Here is a 27,637-nt window from a genome sequence, read left to right as displayed (position 1 = left end):
CTGCCAAACTATAAAATAAGGATACATGAGGTAGCCAGAATAAATTGCTGGAGGACATGATTCTGTCATTGGGTAACAGTCAATAACATTAATTGGTGATGTTGATCAGCTTCCTGTTGACAGGCATGGAGAAAGGCTTTCTGCAGACCTTCCCTGCTCTTACTGGGAGGCACAATGTCAGGTGAAAGTTACAGTTAGTGGGGAAGGAGGCAGGGAAGATATTTTCCCATGTGTATCTAAGGGAGAAAAAAATATGACTCTTTAAAAATGTTGAAGTTTTAGTTACAATAGGACCATTTTAAGCCTGCCTATTGGTGAGCCCAGACTTTATTATCCCGGTCAGGTCAGCTTTGTGGTAGGGCCCTTTAGGAGAAACAGCAATAAATGCTTAAGCATGTCTGGCCTTTATTTGTATATCTGATTAGTTTAAACCTGCACAGTTTGTAGCCTAAGCCATGTATTTATTGCTCATGTGGGTCAGCCTCCATCACCATCTAATGAGTTCTAATTGGGTTCTTCTAGTTGAGAAAGAGGCTGGCCCCCCAACCCCCCAAATTTTTTTATGACTAGTCATAGCCCTGGAGTTGATGGCCTTGACTGAACTTTTCAGCGGTCATTTTGGTCCCACCCTGCACTGTTTTCATGGTAACTCTGTGCTTTTCTAGGTTTGCTGTGGAATTTGTCATCTAATGACAAACTCAAGAATCTCATGATAACAGAAGCATTGCTTACGCTGACGGAGAATATCATCATCCCCTTTTCTGGGTGGCCTGAAGGAGACTACCCAAAAGCAAATGGTTTGCTCGATTTTGACATATTCTACAACGTCACTGGATGCCTAAGGTAATGCTACCTGTACCCTGCCCTGATAGAAGATGCAATAAAAAATTAGGTAGCCCCAAGGAAGTCAGGATATATTCTGCCTTTGGTTCTTTTCTAGTTACACAGTTTGTTTGATGGTTTGTTTATTTTATTTATTTATTTATCTTTTTTAAAACAGAGTCTCGCTCTGTTGCCCAGGCTGGAGTACAGTGATCTACCTGCCTTGGCCTCCCGAAGTGCTGGGATTATAGGCGTGAGCCACCGTGCCCGGCCTACACAGTTTATTTTTTGAGAGACTTTATTTGGATGGTAACTGAAAGAATTTATTATGATAAGATGTTTATTTTATCTCCATAGTTAATCACACAGTAATACATATCAAATACCAATTTTGTGTAAAGCATTATGTTAGCTACTGAAGGCTATACAAAGATGAATAAGAAAACCCTTGGCTGGGTGCGGTGGCTCACACTTGTAATACCAGCACTTTGGGAGGCTGAGGCAGAAGGATCAGTTGAGGTCAGGAGTTCGAGACCAGCCTAGGCAACATAGCAAGACCCTGTCTCCACAAAAAAATGAAAAAATTAGCTGGACATGGTGGTGTGCACATGTAGTCCCACCTACTCAGGAGGCTGGGACAGAGAATCTCTTGAGCACAGGAGGTTGAGGTTCCAGTGAGCCATGATTGCACCACTGCACTCTAGCCTGAGTGACAGAGCAAGACCCTGTCTCAAAAAATATAAAACAAGAATATCCGTAAGAAATGTTTAGTGGAGCAGGGGACACAGATAAGCAAGTGAACTAGAAGACAGCTACAATGAAATGTGTTAGAGCAGCAGTTCTCAAAGCTGGCCACAGGTCCAGCACCACCTGGAAGTTGTTAGAATTCTCAGGTCCCACCCCAGACCTTCTGAATCAGAAACACTCAAGGTTGGGCCCAGCAATCTAGTTTTAACAAGCCTCTAGGTGATTCTGACAGTCACTGAAGTTTGCGAACTAGGATGTCAAAGGTGCAAGTGAAGTGCTGCGGGAATGCAGAACAAAGGACCATTCATGGCATCTGGTGAGATCAGAAGGGCACTAGAAAAGAGGTGTCGAGTGAGCTGGGCCTTGCTGGACTATTTTGGTAGTCAGAAATTCTCTAAAGATAAAGGACCACATTCTTGAAAGGCATAAGAAGTGCCTAAGTGGCCTTCCTCGAATCCATCTTCTGTACTGCCCATTGAATCTGCTTTTCTAGTGCACTTTGATCCATCGCTCACCTGCTTAAACATATTTCACGTCTTAAAGTTTCTCTCCAGCTCCCATTGCCTTACCACATAAAACAGAGTTCTTAGTATGGCAGATGTATTAGGACTCTTTCCATTGAAAATGGTGGGAACCGAACTTAAACTCACTGAAACAAGTCGGAATTCATTGGCCCATGTGGCTGAGATATTGCAGGTCACTTGAGGAAGTGAAGGAAGTATACCAGGAACCATGACCGTATTCCCTTTTTGGGACAGAATTCAGCATTCCTAGGACTCACTCTTTTTCTGTTTGTATGTCATCTCTGCTTGCTCTTCTTTTTTCATAGTGGGCTCATTTCCTGCAAATGCAAAGAAGCCTTCTCTACTGAGCAGATAACTTAATCGTAGGCAGCCCTTGCTTAGCCACAAAAAAAAAAAAAAAAAAGTGCACATCTTTCTTAAAATGATTGTGCCAATCACAGGGAAAGTTTTTTCCTGGCCTTGATTCAGAAAGGGGCACATCATTTGAGCAACTGTTGGCCTGGATTGTCCAAGCCTGGATCAGATACCTCCTTTTATAGCAAGGACAGCAAAATCTGTTACCATAAGAAAAGGGGTGGAAGAACTTAGTGGGTGAACCAAACAAAAATGGAAGACATCTTGGTCCATCACAGCATACACAGCCTTTTTCAGTCTATCCACAACCTTCATTACCACCTTTTTTCCCACAGATATACTTCACACCCACCAAAGTGCTTGCTTTTCCTTAGATGTCATAGTACTTTCATATCAATACTTTATTTAATTTTATTTGCCTGGTAAACATTTTCTATTATCTGCCTGTTGAATACTTAATCTCCTAACGATTTAAAACCAAAGATAAAGTTCATAATGTTCATAAATGTTCTATGAAACATTTTCCAGCTTCCCCAGCAAAAGCTAGTGCTTGTTCCTGAGGGTTCAAACGGGAGTTCATAGCCAAGTCACCACTGTTACTGATTTTGTCACATTGCTGTTATATGATAGTTGTTTACATACCTTTGCTACTATTAATAGATTTTGCCATAAAAGCTAAGCCTATGCATTTAAAAAACATTTTTAATGCCTGACACTTAGCAAAGTTTTCAGCATATAGTAAGTAAGCAAGGTATTTGAATAAAATGAATAAATGAATGAGTGAACAAATGAAAATTGATGGTGAAATTGGTGAATAATCAAGTCTGATAAGAGTATGGAGTTTGTGATAGAAAGTAATCAAACAGAAATTGGAAACATAGGCTAAAGCCAGATAGTGGCGATCTTGAGGATCACATTAAGGAGTTAATTTTTTTTTTTTTTAATTTTCGATTCAGGAAGTACATGTACAGGTTTGTCACACAGGTACATTGCGTGATGCCGAGGTTTGGCCTTCTAATGTGCCGATCACTCAAATAGTGAACTTAGTACCCAATAGATGGATTTTCAACCCTTTTTCCTGCTCTGTCCCTCCCTGCTTTTGAAATCCCCAGTGTTTATTGTTCCCATCTTTGTGTCTATTTGTACCCAGTGTTTAGCTCCCATTTTTAAGTGAGAACATGTGATATTTGGTTTTCTGTTGCTGCATTAATTTGCTTAGAATAATGGCCTCCAGCTGCATCCATGTTGCTGCCAAGGACACGATTTCATTCTTTTTCTTGGCTGTGTAGTATTCCATGGTGTATGTATACCACATTCTCCTTATCCAGTCCCCTATTGATGGGAACCTAGCCATGTCTTTGTTATTGCGAACAGTCCTGCGATGAACATGCGAGCGCATGTGCCTTTTTGATAGAACAATTTATTTTCCTTTGTATATACACCCAGTAATGGGATTGCTGGATTGAATGGTAATTCTATTTTCAGTTCTTTGAGAAACAGGAGTTAATTTTTTTCTTCTGTAAGCAAAATTAGCTAGTATGGAGGACAGAGATATGATAATTTTTGTGGGAAGAAGAAGAATAATAGTATTAACAGGAAAGGTGTATTGTGAAGGTAAAAATCTAAAGGCAACGATGTTAGTTACAAATCTCTTCCTGTAGTCTCCCCTTATGATTGATGAGTAGAAGCTATACATTGGTTGGTTGTAGCAATGCCCTGGTTGGCACACATTTTTCAGAACATATAGTAGCTGAATACACTCCAGTCAGAATAGCACTGTTTTAAACAGTGTTTGCAAAACAGTCCAGACCACTCATTTGAATTTCACCTTCCAAAAGCAGAATATAGCCAAAATCTGGGAAGTGAGTGCCATAATGTATATGCTTACTAAACTGTCCATTCCGATTTCATCTGTATATCTAATTTATAACAATAATAGCTAACATTTATTGTTGTTATGTTCTAGAAACTGCTCTAAATGCTTTATGAGGCTTTTCTCAGTTTACTCTCAGTAGCACTCCCTACAAGATAGGTTTTCCTCATTTTATAGATGAGGAAACAGCCTCAGAGAGGTTGAGTGATTTTCCTAAAGTCATATGGCTAGTAGTAGACAGAGTTGAAACTCAAATGCCGGAAGCTTGTCTTCAAATTCGAAGGTCTTAGTCAGTATGCTAGATACATTAGTATTTGTCACATGTCCACAGATTGTGATTTTGTGGATAAAGCCCCTGCCCTTCATAGTCTCAAGACATCACAGGGTCAGATATTGCCAATTTACAGACATATTCAGTTGTCATTATGGGCACTGTATCAGCATTTCAGTGTTGTTCTTTTTGAAGTTCTGTGCATGTAGAACTCTGCACTGCATTTCATATAATCAAAGAAGATACAAAGATGAAGCATATGAAATGGGACACCTTTCCAAGGTAGGAGATGGCATTGTAGACAACTTCAGGGTAAATGTTGTCACAATGAATAGAAAGGCCACTAGGAGAATACTCAGGATATGAGTCAGAATGTAAGAAAAGAACTCCATGGAACCTGCAGTCACGTAGCATTGATTTCCAGGACATAGAGGTATCTGCTGAGTAGTTGCTCATTTATGTCTACAGCTCACTCTTAAAAATCTTAAGACAGATGTTGACTCGTTCTAGTAAGAGTTAATCTTAGCTATATTTTTAAAAATCATGAATGTTACCGAATATCTTAATTGCCACAAATTCATTGGTGTTATTTTCAGAGCCGAGAGTGTATTCAGAGCCGACAGTGAACTAAATTGAGTAGTATTTCAGGCATTGTGTTTGATTTAGATTACTATAGTAAATTATTTCCATCCATTTTGGAGAAAAACTTGTGCATACAACAGTGAACTTTCTCCGTTTACTAGACTTGACATTGAGATCATTTCTGGTCTGCATGTGGCAATGGTGCTGAGTAAATCTGCTCTGCATATAAAATGTTTGCTTAACTAATGAACTTGTGTTAGTGACTTCAGTTCTGCCCATCTGAAGCTTCTATGGTGAGATCACTCATCTAAGAGAACATGCATAACTTATCCTTCAAAAAAGACTAGCACTGTCAGGTCCACCACCTTGAGGATGTATCGGATCATTTGTCTTTAGGATGAGCATGTGCCCACAACAGCATTTACCACAGGCATCAGTGCTGTCTTTAGGTCCCTTTGGAATTACATACTTTTCACAATTGAAGTCACTCACTTAAAGGTGATGCAGATTTTGCAATAGGGATAACCATGTGCCCACGTAAGTTTCCAATTTTTTCTTAAGTAATACTACACTAGCTTAATGAGTGGGAAAATCCAAGATAGGAGAGGAAAATAAATTGTACACTCCAGTGTGTTGGAGCCAGCAAGTGAGAGTGATTCTTGGCATTTCAGCATAATTCCATGTTCAGTGACATCATGTTGGTAGCTTGAAACTAGCCATGATGGGAGTATTTTACTAAGAAACTGGCAAACAAGCCAGGCATGGTGGTGTGTGCCAGTAGTCTCAACAACTTGGGAGGCTGAGGCAGGAGGATTGCTTGAGCCCAGAGGTCCAGCCTGGGCTACATGGACCCATCTCTAAAAACAAAGAAAGAAAGAAATTGGTAAACTCTGTAAGTCAGACATCTCCCCCTCCCCCAGCCCCAGAAAGCTGGTTGTTAAACATTTATCAGCACGCTGCTAGCATTGAATTTCCATTAGTTGACTACTTTAACATCACAATCTAGATAACTAAGGTACAGGCATATTTCTCTAAAACATTCCTTTTCAAAGAAGAAACAATTCCTTTGTTTTCTTGGACAGTATAAGGAAACTTCAGCATGTTTTCTTCTTCTTGCTTTTTTTTCTTTCTTTTTTTTCCTCTTTTTCTTTTTTTCCTCTTTTTCTTCTTCAGTGGAGAAAAGCTGCTAAAATATCTTTTTTTTTCACAGCCTCCTTTATTTACTTGGAGTAAGAAGTATAACTTAGTTAAAATATGTATTGCAGTTATCAGATTGCTCTTCCAAATATTTTAAATTCCAAAATATTTATATAATAGGCTTAGAATTTTAAACTACCCAAAAGTAGGCCGGGCACGGTGGCTCATGCCTGTAATCCCAGCACTTTGGGAGGCCAAGGCAGGCGGATCACAAAGTCAGGAGTTCAAGAGCAGCCTGCCCAACATGGTGAAACCTCATCTCTACTAAAAATACAAAAAATTAGCTGGGTGTAGTGGCGGGCACCTGTAATCCCGGCTACTCGGGAGGCTGAGGTAGGAGAATCGCTTGAACCCGGGAGGCAGAGCTTGCAGTGAGCCGAAGTCGCGCCACTGCACTCCAGTCCGGGCAACAGAGCAAGACTCTACTTCAAAAAAAAAGAAAAAAAAAAAGAAATGGCTGTCTTCTTTGATTCCATACCCTCCTAGACACACACACACACACACACACACACACACACACACACGCCTATTGTGAGTCCCTTTTTTTTTTTTAATTTAGTGTGAATTTATACTGTGGCTCATAGTATCAGTTCCTAGGGCATTGGTGTGACCTGACTATTAACTCTGTTTTCTACATCACTGATTGGAAAACCCCTGGATGTAGCATCAATAAAACCAATGTTTATTATTCGGGAGAAGTCTGAAATTGCTGCCAAAGTTTTATCATCATTTCTGCATATTATTCTTATAGCTTCTTTCCTCCTCTTTCTTTTCTTCTTTCTTCCCTCCTCCCCCCCAGTCTTCTTTCTTCTCTTAAAGGACAAGAACTGGAAGCAATTTAGAGGTAATAAATTAAAATGCCTCAGAGTTCAGGTAGGCACTTAAGTGGGCAGGTGTAAGACCATGAGGAATGGTAGGGGCTCCATCAGACTAGAGAAGGGAAAAAACACTTGCCCCAAGAGCAGTGAGAGTCAAGTTTTGGAAAACATTTAGGTCAAAAACAAACACATCTAGGGAGCTTCTGTTAGTGGCCTCATTCTTCAGGTGAAGAAATTAAGTCCCCAAGACTCTTCCGCAATTGTAGAACCAGCTATCAGAAATTTGAGAATGACAGCTAGCTAGTCCAGCCTTCTTGGTATTCTGCCACTGGTCTGCCTTTATTCTCCCTCTTATCCAACCCTATTGTTATTCCTTGAGTACTTGTTGAAGGCCTGCTCTATCCAAACCACTATTTAAATTTCTGAGATTTCAAAAGGGAATGGGACCTATTTTTGCCCTGGAGGAACTCTGGGTTTCGTGGAGGAAACTGGCACCTGAAGAGATCATGACAATGCATTTGGTAAGAGATTTAAGAGAGGGATGAAAGTTGCTTCACTAACTTTGCCTTGGGAGTTGGGAATTTTTTCTGGAGAAAGTCAAACTTAAAGAGCTGTTAAAGGATGAGTAGGTGTTTAAATGTCCCTCTCAGTCTTTAGTTCATCATTCTATCATTAGGTCATCACCAACGTTCTTAAATACTGTAGTCATATTAAAAATGTGAATTCATAAAGCCCTAAAAAGTCACTTTCCTGAGTTACTATAGTTTCTTGACCGTCCACTTACGAGACAGGCTTATAAAATTGCCACCTTAAGATAAAGGTGCAGTCTGCTTTGTGAAGGCCTCCCCAGAATTTGTCATTACACATTTTAAAACATATTCTTTTTTCTCAATGCATTTTATGCCTGTGTATGCTGGTTAAAGAAGAAAAGCAATTTGTAATGCATTTCTCCTACAAATGGCATAAACTTCACTTTTTCCCACCTGTCATCGTATAGTAAATGTGTTTTGAATGTATAATATCCTTTTATATATTAAATTTTATTACTTAAAATTATTTAAATTCTTAAAAGAAATTTTCATTGTCTCTTACACTGGAAATCTAGCTGGAGTGGGGAGTTGTCAGAGGAAGCAAACCATACCTTTGGAAAGAAAGGCTATAACTATCAGTCTTGTTTCTAATTAGTCACAGAGTTAAGGGCAAGTTGTTTTGGAATATCAATATGAGCTACTCTCTGGAAAATGAATGTCTCCATGTACATTTTTAATGCATTCAGTTACAACTGTCTTCTCCAGCACATACACACCAAAAAAACCACATACCAAATATAATTTTTAATGCGTATCTTGGTACCAAACTTTAGAAATTTACTGCATCTACATTTTCATGATTATGCATTTTCTTTTCTTTCTTTTTGTATTATTTATTTGTTTATTTTTTGAGACAGAGTCTTGCTCTGTCACCCTGGCTGGAGTGCAGTGGCATGATCTCAGGTCACTGCAACCTCTGCCTGCCAGGTTCAAGCAATTCTCCTGTCTCAGCCTCCCGAGTAGCTGGGACTACAGGTGCACGGCACCTCGCCCAGCTGGTTTTCATATTTTTAGTAGAGACGGGGTTTCACCATATTGGCCAGGCTGGTCTCAAACTCCTGACCTCATGATCTGCCTGCCTGGCCTCCCAAAGTGCTGGGACTACAGGTGTGAGCCAGCGTGCCTGGCCTGTATGCATTTTCATTCTAGTTACCTTTGCTCATCCATATCTTATTCTGAATACTCATGACTTATTTGATCTAGCCTTGTGCATAGTCCCAGATAATTAAGAAGATAATTAAATCAGGGTCTAATTTTCTTGACTATCAAATAGCTATTTTTCTTTTTTGTAAGATGTAGACCCCAAAAGAGGCCAGAACTTACTATTGAAAATCAGAATCTAAATGCATTTACTTCTGGAGAAGAATTTACCATAAAACTAGAAGAGTAATGCTAGATGAGATAGTGCAAACAAAATGGAAACTTGATGAAAGTATCTAGATAGTTCACCCCAGAGATTGGCTTTCCCAAAAATAGAAAGACAACTGAATCATCAACTTCAGCCTCAGTTATTTGGCTAATTATTTAAACTCTTTATGTTTCATGTGTAAACATAAGCAATATGAAGTTAATAAATAATGGAATTGGCAATATTTCTAATGTTATACTATCATAACCAGTCATAACCATATTTTCTGTTGGTTACTTTAGATATACAAACAAGTACATGGTTTAATTAATTAAATTACTTTGTAAATTTTTTTTTTTTCTTTTTTTGAGACAGACTCTCATTCTGTCACCAGGCTGGAGTGCAGTGGCACAATCTTGGCTCACTGCAACCTCCGCTTCCCAGGTTCAAGTAATTCTCCTGCCTCAGCCTCCTGAGTAGCTGGGACTACAGGTGCGCACCACCACGCCCAGCTAATTTTTTGTATTTTTAGTAGAGACGGGGTTTCACCATGTTGGCCAGGATAGTCTCAATCTTCTGATCTCGTGATCTGCCTGCCTTGGCCTCCCAAGGTGCTGGGATTACAGGAGCCACCCCGCCTGGCCAGCTTTTTCTTTAAGTAAATTTAAAAGGTGGAAGTGGTATTTAAATGGGTAAATAAGATCCTGATTTTTAAAAATGATTGTTTTATGAACTAAGCTTCAGGGTTTTAGGCCATTATTTTGAAATCTCTCAACAGTTCTTAAGTTGTTAAAGCAAACAAATAAAATCAAAACAAATATGGCTATGCTTGCCTGGTCACCCATGTTCTTCCTGAACCCAGTGTTTTTAAGAGTACATGTCTCACTGAGATGCTGAAGCAGCCCATCTACAACCAGTTGACCACCTTACAAAGGTCCCTGTTCTTCAGACTATCATTTTCCACTGTCCTATTCATATCTTTACCAGATTGGTCCAGATTAAAAGTTGTACTTTACAGAAATTATGTAACACTTCTCTTTGCTAAAGAGACTCTTTATTCTTATCAATCAGTGCATAAATATTGACTGCCTGAAAATACATGAATAGGAACAATACAGAGGAATAAAAATCAGGAAAGGAAACAAAAGATTAATTTTTACTCATTATATCAAGTGGACTCTTTTTGCTGGGCTTTCTTAATCGGTTAGCTTATGAGTTGAGTCTTGGGCAGAAAAAAGAATTCACAAGAATGTCTTTCTCAGATACTTTTAATACCATCTTCATGTTTAAAGAAAAATATCTGTGTATAGCTCAAATTGGTGTTTTATGAACTGTATTTTGTGACACAAGGTCTTATTCCAAAAAATTTAAGACTATCATCATAATCAAAATGACTGCTAAAATTTTTTTTATTCATTATTATAAAAAGTGAGTGGGCTGATACATCAGGATAAAGCAACTGATGATTTTGTCACTATTGTGTGGTTAAAATCTGTGCCTATCTTGGAGGTATGGATTGAGCATCATATTATTCTACTCTAGGTCTTAAACATCTTTCTTATTCCTGGTCTGACATTCCAAACATCTCCTTTACATGTCAAGAATGCTTATTCAAGTTGCAATAGCTCTTAGGTATATTTTTAAAATTATAGTTTGCTGTTTATAATTAATTTTAAATGGAATTTGGGATTCTGTCCTACCTAACATATTCTAGCTAATTGAGAGGAAATTAATGTAGCCTACCAGCCAGATGATTACTGGCTGAATTAACTATTCAGAATGCTTTTGGAAAACCTGAAAATGCAGGAAAGCAGAGCTAAAGGATTTTTTTTTTTTTTTTAGATGCAGTCTCACTCTGTTGCCTAGGCTGGAGTGCAGTGGCACTATCTCGGCTCACTGCAACCTCTGCCTCCCAGGTTCAAGTGATTCTCCTGCCTCAGCCTCCCAAGTAGCTGGGATTACAGGCATGCGCTACTACACCCAGCTAATTTTTTTATTTTTAATAGAGACAGGGTTTCACCATGTTGGCCAGGCGGTCTTGAACTCCTGACCTCAGGTGATCTGCCCACCTCGGTCTCCCAAAGTGCTGGGATTACAGGCATGAGCCACCGTGCCTGGCCAGAGCTAAAGGATTTTTAAGGATAGATTTTCTCCTCTACCACCTTCTAGTTTCTTGGTGTGGAACAGATGACAACATAGCTTTTTTCCATTAATTTTTCTTATCCCCGTAGGACCAAGATGTGTAGGTTGTAGGGCCTTGTTCTACCTCCCAATGTTCTCTATTTGCAGAATGAACAGCTGACTTTGGCTGATGTTTGCTGATACCTTCAGGAAATAATGTTGACTTCAGAATAACAGACAAGCCTTCTTTTGGCATCGAGTTTTTCTTCCTCTGCCAGTTCAAATGAGGCTCCCCTTTTGTTGTGTGCAACCACAAGCTGACTGTACTGCTTCTCTTAGTTAATCACAGACAAGGCCCAACTGTTTGATATGTATCAGGTGGGAGTTAAACAAAAGCCCAAGCCTAAATCTCAAATAACAAGAGGAAGAAGGATGCTTCCATGTCAGCCGATGTCTCATCAAGTACCTACTTAGTCTTGGAATAGACTCTAACTTTGCCTACCAAGTGTTTATCTGACTGGTACCACTTAGAGTCTTACCATATAATTTACATTACACAGTATTAGGAAGTCTATACTTGTTGGTGATGCGTGCATAATTTTTTAAAACCATTGAGGTGATCACTATCTCAGAGTGCTGATTAGAACTTCAAGACTGGTCCCAGGCCAGGTACAGTGGTTTACGCCTGTAATCCCAGCACTTTGGGAGGCTGAGGCAGGCGGATCACCTGAGGTCAGGAGTTCGAGAGTAGCCTGGCCAACATGGTGAAACCCTGTCTCTACTAAAAATACAAAAATTAGCTGGGCGCAGTGGCACACACTTGTGATCCCAGCTACTCAGGAGGCTGAGGAAGGAGAACCCGTTGAACTTGGGCAGCGGAGGTTGCAGTGAGCCAAGATTTCGCCACTGCACTCCAGCCTGGGCAACACAGTGAGACTCCATCTCAAAAAAAATAAAATAAAATAAAAGACTGGTCCCACAGCCACCAGGCCTTGTATACAATACATGCACATAAACTGTGTGTTAGTTAAAAAACCATACCCATTATCAAGTAGCAATAGTCCCATTTAAAAAACAAAATTTTGGCTGGTCACGGTGGCTCACGTCTGTAATCCCAGCACTTTGCAGAAGGATTGCTAGAAACCAGGAGTTTGAAACCAGCCTGGGCAATGCCATGAGACCCTGTCTCTACAAAAAATAAATCCACTGAGCATGGTGACATGCGCCTGTAGTCCCAGCTACTCAGGAGGCTGAGGTGGGAAGATCCCTTGAGCCGAGGAGGTTAAGGCTGCAGTGAGCTGTGATTGTGCCACCACACTCCAGCCTGGGCAACAGAGTGAGACTCTATCTCAAAAAAAAAAAATAAGAAAAAATAAATAAAAAATAAAGAAATTTCTGGGCCAGGCACAGGGGCTTACACCTGTAATCCCAGCACTTTGGGGGCCAGGCTGGAGGATCACATGAGGCGAAGAGTTCAAGACCAGCCTGGGCAACATAGACTCTGTCTGTACAAAAAATAAATTAGCTGGGCTCGGCAGTGCATGCCTATAGTCGCACCTACTCAGATGGCTGAGATAGGTGCACTGCTTGAGCCTGGAAAGTTGAGGCTGCAGTGAGGTATGATCATGCCACTGCACTACAGCCTGGACGATAGAGTGAGACTATCTCAAAAAAACAAAACAAAACAAAAAAAAATTTCTGCCTCCTAAAGTTATTTATTTTGTATGGTGGTGAAGTGTCTTGAAAAGATGCACTCAGACGTTATTGTTCCCGGCCATTCTCATGTCCTGGAAACTAACTGTAGCCTTTTACTTTAACCATCTCCTTCAGCTCATTGTTTCCCCAGGCCAGCTGACCACACACTGTACACTAAGCTTGGATGTTCTGTGTTGTAACAAACTTCCTTTCAGCACTGGTCAATTAAGCATATTTGACAGCACCCCTGCACATAGCCACAGACAAACTACTTTATATCCTACCTTATGTGGAAGAGCCTGTAACAATCCTGTTAGAGCAGTTAATTCTGATTTTAAATGAGAATCACAGGTCAGAATTTCCCAGAATGAAATTCTAGGGTACCCTAATTTCAGGAATTTTGTGAAAATTACAGATCATGCTATTTATAAGTTGCCTACCATAATGTCTAGTGCAAACACTAAATTGCAGCTGTTTTTTTCCATTTGTCACTGTCCATTCTTTGGTTTACCATATGAATCTAAGATTTACTCACACTGTCATTAATCTCAACCATTAACATACCATTCTTTCTTTTAATTCTATCAAGGTCCAGGGTGTTGTGTTTTCTTTTCTCTTTTTCATTGTGACACTCAGGAATGTGTGAGATAAGAGGTCCTAGAGGGAGTGAAAAGTCACAGATTTGCTTTCTGATAAAACACCTGAATCCCCCTAAATATGTGAAGCTCCGTGACCATTTCAGAGACACACAGAGGTCCAGATTCTATTTCTTCCCCCATTACAAGTCACATTGCTAGAGAGATTCTTCCCGATATCAAGCACTGGCCACAAGTCAAACTGGCGTCTTCCCATTTGGGACCAGTGGAGGTGAAGAACTCCAAATAATTCCTGCCTTTATGTGAAGAGTAATTTGTCTCCTTCCTCACTCTACTTCTCCTAAGGCCCTGGCCCCTTGCCTTCAACCCCTAAGGACCTGTTTTTAAATTTCAGTATATAACAGTATGCAGTTTTAGTTTTCTTAAAGGTCTGCAGATATTTACTCAGACTTAGGCTTGATTATACCAGAGGAAATAAACCCATCGTTTAATCAAATGCAAACGACAGGCACTAAATTACACGTTTTTAATATATTCTATTGGTAACTTTAATAAGCACTATTTATTAAGTAACTACCATGTTTGTATGCTCATTCTCTTTTAATTTTCGATAAGGTAATTGTTTCAGTATATTTCACTTACAGTTTTGAGATATTTTTCTATTGAGCCACCATTGGGTAATGTATGGGAAACCAATCAATAAATAGTTCTTATGATTCAAGAGATACGTTGTAAAAAAGATCAATTCTGCCTAAAGGTAGCCATGTTAATTTTCTGATTCCCACAAGCTTAAGTACTAGCTGTTAAAAAAAAATATTTTAAGATGGATGTATCATTTTCTATAGTTATTGGTTATTTTCGGAATGGTGCAATAACAAATTACTTTCTGTCTAATGACTTCTATTCATGGATGCAGTGGTATAAAATAATCTACCCTTATCATTCATATTTCTGTGTAGTTGAGTAAGGTGGGAACTATTTTTGATATGCAGGAGCAAATACTAAAGCAATGGGGTTCCATGCACTTTCTGTCAGCAAAAGTATCAACTGCCAGAAACCCCTGATAAGTCCCATTTCAAGCAAGTAGAGTCTGGATAATACCAAACAGCAAGACAACAGTTAGTACTTGTGAACTGGCAGTACTGCCAACTTGACTTACCATTCTAACCCGAAATAAACACCCCGGAGTTAAACAAAGCTAAGTCATCCATCTGCAAGGTATGTAGTGGGCTTAGCCAGGAAGAAAGACTTTTTGATTTGTCAAAGCAATTTTAAACTACTGCCATTTATCCTGGCCAGAGGTTGAAAAGGCCAAAGGGAAGCTTTTAAACATATGATAACATCATGTAGTTGGGGACATATGGTATTTGCAGACTGAATGAATGCTAGCTGGGATTTGCTCTGTTCTGGGCCACCCTGGGTGTAGAATAAAGAACAGCCCTCTTTTCCTGACTTTACCACTAATTTGCTGTCACCAGGAAAAGTAACGGAAACTTTTGGCTTCTAGTTTTTCATGTATAAAATAAGGAGACTGGAAAAGATGCTTTTTCAGTTTCTGTCAAGCTTCTGAATCCCCATGATTCTTAAAGGGCTCACAAAGTAGATAGAGGATCTTGGTTGAAATGATCATTCTTTGAAAAAAGCTAAGTAAAAAATTGTTTTATTTCCAGCTTATGAACCCATTCATTTTTTTTTAAATGAACAAACTGTCCGAGTTTTTCAGGTACAGTAAAAATTAATAAGGAAGTAGAAGGGTCAAATGAGAATCAGTCACAGAAGAGATTTTGTTAAAAAATTCATTGTATCAATTCAGCAACCATTAAATTGTTAGTATATTCTTAGTTTTAGGTATGTTATCTCCTCAACTGTCACGTTGAATCATGAAATTGCCATTTTTGAGGGTTAAAACAGTCGGGTTTTGTCAGTTTCCAGAGTTCAACCTATAGATATGATCTCTGTGAAAGCAAGGTATAATATTGTGCATCTTCCTCTCATTCCCTTTAGTTCTTTTTTTTTTTTTTTTTTTTGAGACGGTGTCTAGCTTTGTCACCCGGGCTGGAGTGCAGTGGCACGATCTCGGCTCACTGCAAGCTCCACCTTCCGAGTTCACACCATTCTCCTGCCTCAGCTTCCCGAGTAGCTGGGAATACAGGCGCCCACCACCATGCCTGGCTAATTTTGTTTGGTACTTTTAGTAGAGACGGGTTTTCACCATGTTAGCCAGATGGTCTTGATCTCCTGACCTCATGATCCGCCTGCCTCGGCCTCCCAAAGTGCTGGAATTACAGGTGTAAGCCACCACACCCAGCCACCTTTAGTTCTTGATGTAATGCTTAGGCACCTTTGTTTCTTTGACAAATATGCACTGAAAGCAGTATTTTGAGGCAGAAGGCCTTTTGGAAATCACTTATATTATATTACTTTATTTTGTTAATTTTTTAGACAGGGTCTTACTCTGTCACCCAGGCTGGAGTGTAGTAATGCTCACTGCAGCCTCAACCTCCAGGCTCAAGCAATCTTCTTCCTCAGTCTCCCAGGTAGCTGGGACTACAGGCACATGCCACCATGCGTAGCTAATTTTTTGTATTTTTTCATAGAGACAGGGTTTAGCCATGTTGCCCAGGCTGGTCTTAAACTCCTGGGCTCAAGCAGTCCTCCTGCCTTAGCCTCCCAGAATGCTGGGATTACAGGCATGAGCCACAGCTTCTGGCCTATATTATTTTAAAGATGAAGAAAGTAAGGCTCAAAAATGTCTCAAAGTTGCAGTTCTTTTTGATGTTCAGAATGACACTAACACATTATAAAGAAAAAGTCCTGAACATATTCTGGATATTCTACCTACCAGTAAAAGAAACTGATCTGGGCCAGGCGTGGTAGCTCACGCCTGTAATCCCAGCACTTTGGGAGGCCAAGGCGGGCGGTTCACAAGGTCAAGAGATAGAGACCATCCTGGCCAACCAACATGGTGAAACCCCGTCTCTACTAAAAATACAAAAATTAGCTGGGCATAGTGACGCACGCCTGTAGTCCCAGCTACTCGGGAGGCTGAGGCAGGAGAATCGCTTGAACCCGGGAGGTGGAGGTTACAGTGAGCCGAGATCGCGCCACTGCACTCCAGCCCTGGTGACAGAGTGAGACTCCGTCTCAAAAAAAAAAAAAAAAAAAAAAAAGAAACTGATCTGATACATTTTATAGGGACAGTTCTTAGCAATTAAAGTTGGGAATAGAGGTGATTCTCAAGTTCTTAAAACCTGAAGGCCCTATTTTTTGTCATTCTTGTTGACTGAGGTATTGACATTTTTGGAAAAAAAAATATTTTTTTAAGTAGTTAATGCTAGTAAGAAAAACTTAATCTAAAGGAAGGTAGTAACAATAATACCAGACTATACACATGATCTGAATCTGCACTGTAATCCCCAAATGCATTACTTTCCTGTATTTGATAAGTTTCATTTCTCTATCAGTAAACAACTTCCAATTATAGGTTTAGTTACTGTTTATAGAAAGGTGTCATGACTTAGCAATATTAGAAATAGACTAAGTGTAAAGATATTTATAGGTCATACTTTTGACTGAAGCCTTACACACTGCAAACTCTCATGTTTTCTGTAACATCTCTCTGCCATTTTAATGATAAAATAATCGCATTTTAGAGCATCTGATTTAATATTTGTCAATAACAGTTTATACTGAAATTTAGAAAACCACAAAGAATGTAGTCCAACACACTGTCTTTACAAGTGAGGAAACTGAGGCCCAGAGCAACTTTAAGTTACTTAAAGTTAAAACATGGGGCAAATTGGGACTTGGCATCCAGTATATTATAATGTCTAATGTGCCATTTGCTCTTGTTCTAGTTGCAAAAACATTTGCCTCATATCCACACTCAAAATGGAGTGAAGATTAAGTAAATAATGTTTTGATCATGGTACTTGGAGTGAAGTAGAAGACTTATGACACAATTACGTGTTGTTTGGAAATATTTAGAAAGTATGTTCATAGTTGATCTATTAAGCAGTCAATGATTTGTTGACTGGGCAAGTCTGCCACACTTTTACAAATTTGCCAGTTTCCAAACACCTGGAAGAAGCATCAAGTAAAACTTCAAAACAAAGACCTGTTGGATACACAGCCTAGACTTACTTTTTTGTTTTTTGTTTTTTCTGATAGAAACATGAGTTCTGCTGGCGCTGATGGGAGAAAAGCGATGAGAAGATGTGACGGACTCATTGACTCACTGGTCCATTATGTCAGAGGAACCATTGCAGATTACCAGCCAGATGACAAGGTAATTCAAGAGATAAATATCCTGTTTTGTCTTACTAAGATGCTTCAGAATATTCTTAAGATAGCCGCTTGGTTTTAGGTTTATTCACTGATTCATTTACTGAGCCTAAGATCTTCCATTCATCCTTAGAAATATTAAAACCTAGGCCAGGCATGGTGGCTCACGCCTGTAATCCCAGCACTTTGGGAGGCTGAGGCAGGCAGATCACGAGGTCAGGAGATTGAGACCATCCTGGATAACATGGTGAAACCCCGTCTCTACTAAAAATACAAAAAATATAGCCGGGCGTGGTGGCGGGCACCTGTAGTTCCAGCTACTCAGGAGGCTGAGGCAGGAGAATGGCATGAACCCCAGAGCTTGCAGTGAGCAGAGATTGCGCCACTGCACTCCAGCGTGGGCGACAGAGCAAGACTCTGTCTCAAAAAAAAAAAAAAGAAATATTAAAACCTATTGCCTTATTTTTCTATTTTCCAGGCTCCAATGTCTGTCTGTCTAACCACACTATGTGGATATTTGAAAGGAGCCCAAATGCTACATGGTCAGCAATGAATTTTAATGTATCTCTTTTTTCATTCCCAAACTTGTTCCTTCTTTTTATAATCCTTTTTTTTTTTTTTTTTTTGGAGGCAGAGTCTAGCTTCATCACCCAGCCCAGGCTGGAGTGCAGTGGTGCGATCTCAGCTCACTGCAACCACTGCCTCCTGGGTTCAAGCAATTCTCCTGCCTCAGCTTCCCAAATAACTGGGATTACAGGTGTACGCCACCATGCCCAGCTAATTTTTTTTGTATTTTTAGTAGAGACAGGGTTTTGCCATGTTGGCCAGCCTGGTCTTGAACTCCTGACCTCAGGTGATCCATCACCTCAGCCTCCCAAAGTGCTGGGATTACAGGCGTGAGCCACAGCACCTGGACTATAATCCTTCTTAATAATCATCACCATCCACCAAAAGAAGATGGAAATCTGAGTAATTGTGTGCTGTCTACCTCTGAAAAGGCTTTCAGTTCTTACACTTCCCTCTAATGCTTCTAATGTTTTCCTACATTGTGCATCTTTCATGCCGATTATTGCAATAGCCTCCTAGTTGGTCCCTATAAACAGTATCTCCTCCCCTTCTCCAGCTCAACATGGCTAGTAAGTTACGTATCTAAGCTATACAGTTGTTCTGGACACACTCTTTAGAAAGTAAACTAAAAAGACTCAGCCTCTACTTCTTAGCATTGTACTCCTGACTGTTCATGAAAACCTTAGCTTTTCTAGCCATACTCATTGCATTTCCCCCAGGCAACCCGCAGTTTAAGCACACCCAGTTGCATCTGGTAAACCTTGTAAGAGCTAAAGCCTGTGTCCTGTGATATCACACCTGCAAGGATATCTATATGTATACGATCAATATTCTTGTCCTGTTTTCTCAGGCCACGGAGAATTGTGTGTGCATTCTTCATAACCTCTCCTACCAGCTGGAGGCAGAGCTCCCAGAGAAATATTCCCAGAATATCTATATTCAAAACCGGAATATCCAGACTGACAACAACAAAAGTATTGGATGTTTTGGCAGTCGAAGCAGGAAAGTAAAAGAGGTATATTGGGAAGTTTTTGAAAGAATGAGAAAGGGAGAGAATGAGAGAGAGTGTGTGTTTGTGTATATGTGTATGTCTAAGTACTTGGTATATATCGGCACTATTTTAAGTTATTTTAATTCTTACATCAACCTTTTGAAGTGTGTATTATTAATACCCTCATTTACCAGTGAGGAAACAGAGACACAGTAAGATTAATTTTCCTGGAATAATTCAGCAAATAAGTGGAAGAGATTGAATACAATGCCAGGCAGTCTGGCTCCAGATTTTCATTGCTACCCATGAACCGTACTGCTTTATGCCTTATAGGTTAGGAAATAAGCTTAATGCAGCATAGCTAATTGTATATAAATTGTTTTTATTAAAGTCGGCCCTGATATTTGGCCTTGGGTATTCTAAAAACAAACTTTGGACATACTAAAAGCAAACCTCATAGGAAGGAATACATATTTATTTCCATACTGATATGAAAACTAAGAGAATGTAACCTCCCCTCCTTCTCTGAGTATCGTGGTATTTGTGGAAACCAGCTGGTAAATTTAGAACCCTGGTGCTATCCTGGACACTTTCACAAGACTCTGAGGGAACAGGCCTGTTTTTCTTATCTACAGGGTGGTTGTGACTAATTTAGCTTTTAGCTCAACAGCAGCCTGAAAACCATTCTAGAATGACCTATGCTTAATTCTCTGAATTTTCTCTCACTGGGAGAAATATCAAGTTAGGGGTGTGGAGTGTTATTAGGAAGAAATAATCATTATGGGCTAAAAGTTAAGTGATTAGAAATTATATATATTTGCTTTTAAAATTTCTATTTCAAGGGCTTCTTATGCAAATTATGAGCCTTTCTAGACAGTATTTCTGGTCTCCTGGTTTGAGTGTGAAATTATAGCCATCACCTGACATGCATTAATTCTGGATTCCTTTTGTGTGTGGTCAGCAATACCAGGACGTGCCGATGCCGGAGGAAAAGAGCAACCCCAAGGGCGTGGAGTGGCTGTGGCATTCCATTGTTATAAGGATGTATCTGTCCTTGATCGCCAAAAGTGTCCGCAACTACACACAAGAAGCATCCTTAGGAGCTCTGCAGAACCTCACGGCCGGAAGTGGACCAGTGAGTATTGGGCCTGATTTCCTACTTTTTAAAATAATGATATTGTAGACATACCTACATTCAATTCAGAGATGAAACAGTGAGGGAAGAGAAAAAGGTTTCTTATTTTAGTAAAGACAATTCTCAGAAATTACAGAGGGCTTCGGTCTCAGCTTATGCAAAGTCAAGTCAGGCTGCTTGACTGACAAGTCAAGTCAGTACTCTTTCAGTTACAGATCTCAGAATCCTGCCTCAAGCTGGTTTAAGCAAAAAAGAGGAAATTTTTGGCTTATGGCACTGAAAACTCCAGGGTGGGCCTTCTTTCTGTCGTGACTGGACTTAGGTGCACCAGTGATTACAGTTGACTTTCTTCATCTCCGGGCTTGGTTTTCCTCTGCTGGGTTTGTTCTCAAAGGCTCTCTCCATAGGGTAACAAAGACAGCCATGAATTATTTCAGGCTCACGTTTTATCAGCCCAATGTGTCCCCCACAAGAAACAAACTACCATTTTCCCAATAGTGTTGTTAAGAAGTTGGAGAATATGTCTCACGGGCTGGCTTGGGCCTCTTGCCCATTTCTGAACCAATACCTGTGTCTATGAGGCTATGATGTTCTAATTGGCCAAGTCTGGATCATATGCCCAGATGTGCACTTCCAGGGCATGGGTTTGATTGGATGAGGGCCACTGCCACTTGTACCACATGGGCTGAAATGGTAAAGGAGTGCTCCCTAATGGAAAATGAGACTGTTACTACCAAAGGAAGGAGGAATAAATGCTGGGAAGGCAAAAACAACAGCAGATGTCTACTGCAGTATGGAGTTGGAAAGGCCATCTGTGCTTTTGTGTCCCAGAAATTCAACTACAAAATAAAGAGCTGATCCTCTTTCCAGATGCACTTACTTTATAGCAGCAAAGTCAAAATAATTAAAATAGTAAAAGGTTATTCCCTTCCCCATGTATTTTATACCCTTCCTATATATTAAGGTATTCTGTAAGTATTTAATGATTTAAACTAAGCTTGTATTCTTTGCCTTGGTCATGAAACGATTAGAATAAACTCCCCCCAAATAGCTCATTGTCTGTCTAGTCTCCAATTATCTCTGTAGAGAAAAGTACTATTGTAAGTAGCAAAAAATATTTATGTTTTACTTGAGAAACCATATTTATTCTTTAATATGTGTGTTTACACAGAAGCTTGTTCTCTGAATAAAATTGTGAAATGCTAAAACCAATATTTCTCTTACCTTAGCATTGTGGTTAAGAATGCAACCAAACTTTCATCTGTTTGGCTTTCTGCAAAATGTACATTGAGAAAGAAACTGGGAACTACCAGGGAGCCCTTAATGACACAGGGACACTAATGAATCACGTTATTCCCCATTTTCCTATGCTAGGTTTCCCAAAACCATTTCTCTTACTTTGCTAAACTATAGAAGCCCTCTTTTTAATTCCCAGCTAACATAAAAGAAAATTAAATGGGGGGGGGGGGGTTGTGTGTGCGTGTGTGTGTGTGTGTAAGCTTGCTGTGGTCTGAGTCTAGTTCAATATAAGCTAACCCTTTAAGCTTGGATTTTAGCCTCTTCCATTCCAAGAGCCTCCCACAGAATCCAGACCAGGGGTGCTTTCATTTTTCTGAGGATACAGGGATATTTATGCCACTTAATCTCTCAATATTAGTGTATTACCTAGTTCCTACATTCATTTGCTGAACAAACATTCTTTTGAGCATATTACATAACAGACACTAGCAGTTATGGTGTAGGTTACACAGCAGTAAATAAGACAAATCCCTGTGTTGGGTAATAGTCTTACTGGGATGAAAAACAGAAATTTAAAGTACTAGGAAAAATTTAAGGTACCAGGTCCATAAAGAGCCCAAGTCATACCTAAGGGGCCTAATAGGCCATCCCTAAATGGAAGCTTACACTAAACTGATACTGATTCATACCCAAGGTTGTTAGAATTGGACTTGATTGGAGATTTATAAGAGAAAATCATTAGCAGCATGGGACAAATATGAAGCCCCTTTATTTTATTTTATTTTATTTTATTTTATTTTATTGTATTGTATTGTATTGTATTGTATTGTATTTATTTTGAGGCGGAATCTCACTCTGTTGCCCAGGCTGGAATCCAGTGGCACAATCTTGGCTCACTGCAACTTCTGCCTCCCGGGTTCAAGCAATTCTCCTGCCTCAGCCTCCCAAGTAGCTGGGATTACAGGTGCCCGCCACCACGCCCAGCTAATTTTTGTATTTTTAGTAGAGATGAGGTTTCACCATGTTGGCCAGGCTGGTCTCAAACTCCTCACCTCAGGTGATCCACCAGCCTCAGCCTCCCAGAGTGCTGGGATTATAGGTGTGAGCCACCGCACTCAGCCTCCCTTTATTCTTTTAAGTTACGGGATGCTTTTTAAAATTTTGACATATGTGTTTTTTTAATAATACTTTTCCTACTTTTGTATGCTTAGATGCTGTGATAAAGATCTCTGGCTTTATAATTTCAAACAAGGAATCATTGAATAGGAAAACATGAAAATTAGGTCATACACATAGTACCAGAAAATATCAAGTCCATTGGCCATGTGATCGTAACTGAGATAGCACTGAGCAATTAATGACCGTGTACCTTACGTGGCAAAGAACCCAAGCTGAAATAAATAGGTTCCTAAAAGACAGATTATATAATTTACATACAGAATTATGACAGAATTTCTAGTTAGTAAAAGTATGTTAGTTTAAGCTTTATTAGTTCAGTTATAATGGTCACTCTAGTAGCAAAAGGATGGAATAATAAAATTTACTTATTTAGCAAGCTTTTAAATATAATATAAATTAAAAGATTAAACATTGTATAGTAAAAGTTAAAAGTCATTGAAATAAAGTTTCGGGTTTTTTTGGGTTTTTTTTGTTTTTGAGACAGAGTCTCATTCTGTTGCCCAGGCTGGAGTGCAGTGGCACAGTCTCGGCTCACTGCAACCTCTGTCTCCTGGGTTCAAGTAATTCTCGTGCCTCAGCCTCTTGAGTAGTTGGGATTACAGGCATGTGCCACCACTCCCAACTAATTTCTGTATTTATAGTAGAGACGGGTTTCACCATGTCAGCCAGGCTGGTCTCGAACTCCTGACTTCAAGTGATCTGCCCACTTCAGTCTCCCAAAGTGCTGGGGACAGGCGTGAGCCACTGCACCCAGCCTGAAATAAACAGTTTTAAAAGCCCTTTATTTAATATCGATCGGAAAAAAATGAAACATATTCCCTCAGCGGCCCCCAACCTTTTTGGCACCAGGGACTGGTTTCATGGAAGACAGTTTTTTCACAGACTAGGCTGGGGAGAGATAGTTTCAGGATGAAACTGTTCCATCTTAGATCAATTAGATTCTTATAAGGAGCACACAGCCTAGATCCCTCATGTGCGGTTCACAATAGGGTTTGCGCCCCCATGAGAATCTAATGTCACTGCGGATCTGACAGGAAGTGGAGCTCAAGCACTAATAATACTCGCTCACTGCTCACTTTCTGCTGTGCGGCGGGTTCCTAACAGTCCACGGACTGGTACTGTGACCCGGGGGTTGGGATCTTCCCCACTACCGCATACCTTACCCAAAAATAAATACCAACAGGAATGAAACCTAAATATGAAAGGTAAAACAATAAAGATGCTAAACAATTACATGGAAGAATATCTTCATGACCTGAAACAGGGAAAGACTTCATTAAAATGGACACAAAAAGGACTAGCCTTAAAGTAAATATTTGATAAATTGACTAAATTAATAACTTATGCTATCAAAAGACATGTTAAGACATTAAAAAGGCAAACCACAGAATGGGAAAAGATTTTTGCAACATGTATAAGTAACAAACGTGGGTATCCAGAAAATATAGAAGAGTTGAGGTAACAATACATAAACAAGACATGGACAGCCCAGTAGAAAAATAAATGGACAAGAGACTTAATAGACGAAAGATAACATTGAAATAGCTAACAGTTATAAATTCTTTCCCATGGCCAATGTCCAGAATGGTGTTTCGTAGGTTTTCTTCTAGGAGTCTTACATTTTGAGGTCTTAACGTTTAAATCTTAAATCCATCTTGAATTAATTTTTATACATAGTGAAAGGTAGAAGTTCAGTTTTGTTCTGCATATGACTAGCCAGTTATCCCAGCACCATTTATTGAATAGGGAGTCCTTTCCCCATTGCTTATTTTTGTCAACTTTGTCAAAGACCAGATGGCTGTAGGTGTGGAGCTTCATTGCTGGGTTGTCTATTCTGGGACCTAATTAAGCTAAAGAGCTTCTGCACAGCAAAATAAACTATCAACAGAGTAAACAGACAACCTACAGAATGGGAGAAAATGTTCACAAAGTATGTATCTGGTAAAGGTTTAAATCCAGAATCTGTAAGGAACTTAAAAAATTCAGCAAGCAAAAACTAAATAACCCCATTTAAAAAGGGAGCCAAAGACATGAACAGACATTTCTCAAAAAAAGACATTACCAGTGGCCAACAAACATGAAAAAACGCTCATCATCACTAATCATCATTAATTATCAAATCAAAACTACAGTGAGATGCCATCTCATACCACTTAGAATGGCTACTATTAAAAAGTCAAAAAACAACAGATGCTGGTGAGGCTTTGGAGAGAAGGGAACACTTACATACTATTGGTGGGAATATAAATTAGTTCAGCCACTGTGGAAGGCAGTTTGGAGGTTTCTCAGAGAACTTAAAACAGAGCTACCATTCCACCCAGCAATCCCATTACTGAGTAGATATCCAAAGGAAAATAAATTATTCTACCAAGAAGACACGTGCACTCATATGTTCATCACCATGCTATTCACAATAGCAAAGTCATGGAATCCACCAGGGTGCCCATCCGTGGTGGATTGGATAAAGAAAATGTGGTACATATGCACCCTGCAATGATATGCAGCCATGAAAAAAGAGTAAAATCATGTCCTTTGCAGCAACATGGATGCATCTGGAAGCCATTATCCTAAGTGAATTAATGCAGGTACAGAAAAACAAATACCACATATTCTCCCACTTATACGTGGGAGTTAAACCATGGTTACTCATGGACATACAGATGGCAACAATAGACACTGGGGACTACAAGAAGAGGGAGAGAAGGAGGGGGAAAGGGATGAAAAACTAACTATTATGTACTATGCTTACTACCTGGGTGACGGGATTATTCATATCACAAACCTTAGCATCACACAGTATACCCGTGTCACAAACCTGCACATCCACCCTCTGAATCTAAAAGTTGAAATTTTTTTTAAAGGCCAATAAACATTTGAAAACATTTTTCAACCTCATTAATGATCAAGGCAATATGAATTAGAAGTGTTATTTGCAAACAGTTGACCAGAGAATTAACAGTCATTCTCACATACTTACAAAAGCTAGAATACAGAATCTCTATTTGGTAGCACTCATTGCTTATTTTCCTTATGGAGCAAATTCTAAAGGTCATCCTACTTCAGGCATTCTCATTTCCCTCAGCAAATCGGAATTAGTGAAATTTTGCCATGCTGTCCCCAAGCTGAGCAAACAGCATTTAAGGAATCAGACCTCATCTAGAGTCACATGTTTTCAATGATTGTTCTTACAAATTAACATGAAAACATTAATGCTCTTTATTATATCTCAGCATATATCATTAAATAGTATAGTATGATGTATCTATAAAGCGAGATTTTAGTTCTCAAGAAATTCTCATGTTTTAAAAGAAAACAAAAATTTTAAGAAATATTTTGTGACTTTATTTGATTCCCCATCTTGTTTTCAAGTACCTTCTGAGATGATAAATCTTCAGGGAAACTTGATAGCATATTATTTGTACAATTCAGGTCAGTAAACATTTGTATAGGACCTATCATGTGGAAGGTACCATACAAGGCACTGAGGTGGAGAAAAGATGGATAAGATATGTTCTTTCAAGAGGCTAATGAATGGTCTAGTAGGAGAGATAGGCAGTTTAGGAGAGTTGTAAAATAGAGAATTAGGGAGTAGTGGTAAGGAAGGAAATGAAAGAAAATGTCAGGCTACAGAGGACTGTATGAGCCATACTAAGATGTTTGAACATCATTCGGAAGGCGATGAAGAGTCATGAAAGGGTTTAAATCTGAGGTGTGGAACATAATCAGATTAAATTTTACAAGGGTGATTCTGGTGTAAGGCTTTGAAACCCCCACTGGTGTTTAAGAGACAACAAGTTTACTAGCAACATTGAGTTCCTTGTAGAGATTGGAGGCCATAATTTGCAGATTGGTTCTTCTGCAAATGCATTGTTCGCCCTAGCAATATTTGGTAGACAAGTATAAAATCAGAAAAGAAAAAAGTTAAATGAACCGTATATTGCAGTTTTGATGGGTGAGAGAAAAATAAACCAGACTGACAAGATTGTTGAGATTATTGGAATTTTTTTTTTTTTAAGACAGAGTCTCACTCTGTCGCCTAGGGTGGAGTCCAGTGGCACGATCTCAGCTCACTGCAACCTCCGCCTCCTGGGTTCAAGTGATTCTCCTACCTCAGCCTCCCAAGTAGCTGAGATTACAGGCGCCAACCACCATGCTCAGCTAATTTTTTGTACTTTTAGTAGAGACGGGGTTTCACCATGTTGGCCAGGCTGGTCTCGAACTCCTGACCTCAGGTGATCTGCCTTCCTCTGCCTCCCAAAGTGCTGGGATTACAGGCTTGAGCCATAGTGCCCAGCCTGGAAAGATAATATTTAATGTGATGGTTCATGCACCATAGTCTAAATAAGAAATTTAAGACAGGAGAGAATTGATAACTTGAGGTGTAAGGAATGAAGGTTAGGTAAAGGAACTAAAGTTCTTGATGAGGCTGAAGAGAAACATGGTAGGAGGGAGGGAGGGAGAGCAGGGAGAACGGGAAACTATGTTCAGAGCCTGACATTGCTGAGTTTATGTTTTCAGAGGCAACATGTCTCTGAGTGAACACAGGCTCTGTGTGACCATGGAAGTGAGTGGCTGATGTATGGAAGAGATGAAAGTCAGGGACTGTGGGGAAGTCTAGGAACTGTGAGGTAATCATTTTGATGAGGTATATGAATAGGAGGTGGAGAAGGCTGTGAACTGGGCTCCAAAGCCTCCAGCAAATGT

General features: G+C 39.6%; 1 protein-coding gene across 10 annotated transcripts in view, besides 1 other annotated feature; it reads left to right on the top strand.

Annotated features, from left to right (window-relative positions):
- Window positions 1-27,637, top strand: part of PKP2 (plakophilin 2) — a 106,023-nt gene that overhangs the window by 54,907 nt on the left and 23,479 nt on the right. For 6 of the 10 annotated variants that reach the window (NM_001407155.1, NM_001005242.3, NM_004572.4 and 3 more), the window contains 4 exons: window positions 666-843; window positions 17,709-17,826; window positions 19,240-19,404; window positions 20,342-20,515. In NM_001407155.1, coding sequence (NP_001394084.1) covers window positions 666-843; window positions 17,709-17,826; window positions 19,240-19,404; window positions 20,342-20,515 — 635 coding nt within the window. Of the gene's footprint in view, window positions 1-665; window positions 844-17,708; window positions 17,827-19,239; window positions 19,405-20,341; window positions 21,728-27,637 lie in introns of those variants that run through there. The other 4 variants (NM_001407161.1, NM_001407157.1, NM_001407162.1 and 1 more) reach the window with 2 other exon arrangements.
- Window positions 7,333-7,862: an enhancer, noted in NCBI's record as "NANOG hESC enhancer chr12:32986943-32987472 (GRCh37/hg19 assembly coordinates)". NCBI's record gives its function as "activates a minimal SCP1, AML or CMV promoter by ChIP-STARR-seq in naive H9 embryonic stem cells {active_cell/tissue: H9 hESC(naive)}" and the evidence as "EXISTENCE:reporter gene assay evidence [ECO:0000049][PMID:30033119]".

This window comes from Homo sapiens, chromosome 12 (genome assembly GCF_000001405.40).
Source record: "Homo sapiens chromosome 12, GRCh38.p14 Primary Assembly".
In the NCBI taxonomy this organism is placed as follows: Eukaryota; Metazoa; Chordata; class Mammalia; order Primates; family Hominidae; genus Homo; species Homo sapiens.
This window is presented reverse-complemented; position numbering and strand designations above follow the sequence as displayed.